At 42.9% G+C, this 3,859-nt stretch overlaps 1 long non-coding RNA gene across 1 annotated transcript; it reads left to right on the forward strand.

The window, feature by feature from the left end:
- Nucleotides 1–1,458: 1,458 nt before the first annotated feature.
- LOC124902914 (uncharacterized) lies at nucleotides 1,459–3,320 on the forward strand. The gene is made up of 2 exons (XR_007063270.1): nucleotides 1,459–1,725; nucleotides 3,071–3,320. It is a non-coding gene; the product is annotated as an uncharacterized LOC124902914 (long non-coding RNA).
- The last annotated feature ends 539 nt before the right edge of the window (nucleotides 3,321–3,859 follow it).

Below are 3,859 nucleotides of genomic sequence, written 5' to 3' on the forward strand. Positions count from 1 at the left end.
ATAACTTGTATGCTGCTAAATTCAATAGTCAAGTTCTCAGTCCTCATCTTAGTAGCATTTGACATACTTGGTCATGCTCTCCTTAATTCACTTTCTTCCCTTGGCTTGTAGAACCCCAAACCCTTGGATTTTTTTTCTATTTATGTATTTACTTTAGGGATGGGGAGGTCTCTCCATGCAGACCAGACTGGTCTTGAACTCCTGGACTCAAGCGATCCTCCCATCTCAGCCTCCCAAAGTGCTGGGATTACAGGTGTGAGCCATAGCGCCCAGCCCCAAACCCCTGATGTTCTTCTCTTGAACCCTTTCTTGGTCTTCTTTGCTGTTTTTCACACCTTTCAGGGGTGTCTCAGGCCTAAGTATGTTGTGACTTATCTCCTTTATCTGCACTCATTCCACTAGTATTCACACATACTTTCATACTTTCATGCTGTCAACTCCGAACTTTATTTTATTTATTTTTTGAGACGGAGTCTCGCTCTGTCGTCAGGGTGGAGTACAGTAGTGTGATCTTGGCTCACTGCAACCTCTGTCTCCCAGGTTCAAGCGATTCTCCTGACTCAGCCTCCTGAGTAGCTAGGACCACAGGCACATGCCACCAAGCCCAGCTAATTTTGGTATTTTTAGTAGAAACGGGGTTTCACCATGTTGGCCAGAATGGTCTCGATCTCTTGACCTCGTGATCCACCTGCCTCGGCCTCCTAAAGTGCTGGGATTACAGGTGTGAGCCACCGCTCCTGGCCCCAATTTTATTTTTACTTATTTATTTTTGAGACAGAGCCTTGCTTTGTCGCTGAGGCTAGAATCAGTGGCATGATCACAGCTCACTGCAACCTCTGCTTCCCAGGCTCAAGCAATCCTCCCCGACTCCAGCCTGAGTGACAGAGCAAGACCCTGTGTCAAAAAGAAAAGAAAAAAAAAAAGGAAAAAGAGAAAAAACAGGACTTCAAAATATAATGGTGAAAATCTTAGTCAACCTTGGCACAGTGGATTCTTGTTTTTAAAAAATCAGTCTCAGAGCTAGGCATCATGCCTGTAATTCACCTGGGAGGCTGAGACAGGAAGATCACTTGAACCCAGAGTTCGAGACCAGCTTGGGCAACATAGCAAGACCTGCAGCTTAAAAAAAATAAAATTAGGCTGGGCGTGGTGGCTCACGCCTGTAATCCCAGCACTTTGGGAGGCCGAGGCAGGCGGATCACGAGGTCAGGAGATCAAGACCATCCTGGCTAACACGGTGAAACCCTGTCTCTACTAAAAATACAAAAAAATTAGCTGGGTGTGGTGGCGGGTGCCTGTAGTCCCAGCTACTCAGGAGGCTGAGGCAGGAGAATGGCGTGAACCTGGAAGGTGCAGCTTGCAGTGAGCCGCGATCACGCCACTGCACTCCAGCCTGGGTGACAGAGCGAGACTCCATCTCAATAATAATAATAATAATTTAAAAAATAAAAAATAAAAAAATTTTACAAGAAAAAATATATATATAGAGAGAGAGAGACATACAGTCTCAGCCCACTACCACCACCATTATCACAGCACCTGGACTGTGAGGAGATTAGAGGCAGCTGATGACTGTCCCAGAAGGAGCCGAAAGTGCTGAAGGACAGACATCCTGAGGAAATGGGGCTGGCAGAGTGGACCTGGCAAATGGTTTGGATAATGAGCGCCTAGGCTACCATCACTTTCTTACAGAGGAAGTGATTCATGCACTGTTTTGTCCTGCAGGTAAGTAAAAACAGAAAACCAGTTTGCTTACTCTCTTAGTAAAGGAAATGCTCTGCTTTTATAGAATAAGATTAGGGCCTCATAGCCCACTGTGGCATTTTCACAAAAATTGCTATTTTTAGATGATCACTTAAATATGTCATTATCATACACCAAACAAAAATAATTACGGTGCAAAAAATTAACTTAAAAAATTGTTTCCACATAGAATCATGTTATGTTTAAAAGTGGGAAAAATGTATGTCATCTGAAAGATCATCTTGTGGTTTTTTTTACTATCTGCTGAATTTGTGTGTATGTCTATGTATGTGCTTGAAGACTGGAGAACAGGAAGGCACAGAATGAATACAGGGTAAATGAACCAAAGGATCCAGGCCCACAGTTATAAAAAAAATAGGAGGAAGAACTCTCAATAAAAAAGAATTATTTGCCACTTTGAGAGGACAAGGTGGGAGAATCACTTGAGGCCAGGAGTTAGAGACCAGACTGGGCAAGATAGTGAGGACCCTCCTATCTTTAAAAAAAGTAGTAATAATTAGGTGGGCATGGTGGCATGAGCCTGTAGTCCCAGCTACTGAGAAGGCTGAGGCAGGAGGATCGCTTGAGCCCAGGGGTTTGAGGTCGCAGTGAGCTATGATTGCACCATTGTATTCCAGCCTGGGTGACAGAGTGAAACCCTGTCTCAAAAAAAAAAAAAAGAAAGAAAGAAAGAAAGAAAGAAATGAAAAATTATTTGCTAAAAAAAGTCATGATGCTTTCGTGAGTATACCTTTTTGCAGAGTTTTGACTTTTGAACCATCTCAGTGTTTTATAAACAGACACACACACACACACACACCCCTAATGGTGAACACTCCCCTCCCCCATGGAGTACAAATATAAACAAGTGAACATATCCATATATCAAATGGTACCAAATGAAAAACATAACCACACTGAAGAGAAAAAAGAACTAACTCAAACTTTTGCATACAGTATGTGGACTCAGAGTGCAAACAAATATTGAACTCTAGATCCCTGGCTTGTTTTTCCCAGTGGTAGAGCTTAGTAGTTCTAACATGTGTTTATTTGTTTTGCTGAGTTCTAGAACTCAGTGAATGTGATAGTTCATATTGAGTGTCAACTTGATTGGATTGAAGGATGCAAAGTATTGTTCCTGGGTGTGTCCGTGAGGGTGCTGCGAAAGGAGAGTAACATTTGAGTCGGTGGACTGGGAGAGGCAGACCCACCCTCAATCTGGGTGGGCACTGCCTAATCAGCTGCCAGCGCAGCTAGAATAAACCAGGCAGAAGATGGAAGAGCAGACTTGCTGAGTCTTCTGGCCTTTGTCTTTCTCCCGTGCTAGATGCGTCCTGCCCTTGAACAACAGACTCCAAGTTTTTCAGCTTTTGGACTCTTGGACTACACCATTGGTTTGCCAGGGGTTCTCAGGCCTTTGGCCACAGACTGAAGGCTGCGCTGTCGGCTCCCCTACTTCTGAGGTTTTGGGACTCAGACTGGCTTCCTTACCCCTCAGCTTGCAGACGGCCTATTGTGGGACCTCACCTTGTGATCGTGTGCATCAATACTCCTTAATAAACTCCCCTTCATATATACATCTATCCTATTAGCTCTGTCCCTCTAGAGAACCCTGACTAATCCAGTAAATAAATATGCTGAGGATAATGGGAGCCAAGTTTCCTACTGTCAGAGAAAGCAGATATAGATGTGGAAGGGGGGACATAATAAATCCTATGTTATTGGAATGGAAAATAGGTATTAATGGTTTAGCTAAGTATAAATATAGATATAGTACATATAATACCTATGTGGGGGGTTATATAAATGTACATATACACATATTTTCTAGCTGTCTGCTGTGAGGGTCTAGAAGTAATACCCCAATTTTGTTTTTGTATTTTGTTTTCTAAACACCATTTTCCACTAAAAAGAACCAGCATTCCTTGAAGAAATGGTTGATTCAAGGGCTTGGGCAGGAAAAATTCACAATAAGCCTGGAATATTATATTGTACCAGAAAGTAAGAAAGGGCCCAAAGAATGATGGGGACATGTCAGAAGAACTAGGAGGCAGCTTGAAGGGTCTCCCACTGGCAAAATCTGGGACAGTTAAACATAAAAATTAACAAAAAAAAT

The sequence above is a fragment of the Homo sapiens genome, chromosome 12 (assembly GCF_000001405.40).
Source record: "Homo sapiens chromosome 12, GRCh38.p14 Primary Assembly".
Classification (NCBI taxonomy): Eukaryota; Metazoa; Chordata; class Mammalia; order Primates; family Hominidae; genus Homo; species Homo sapiens.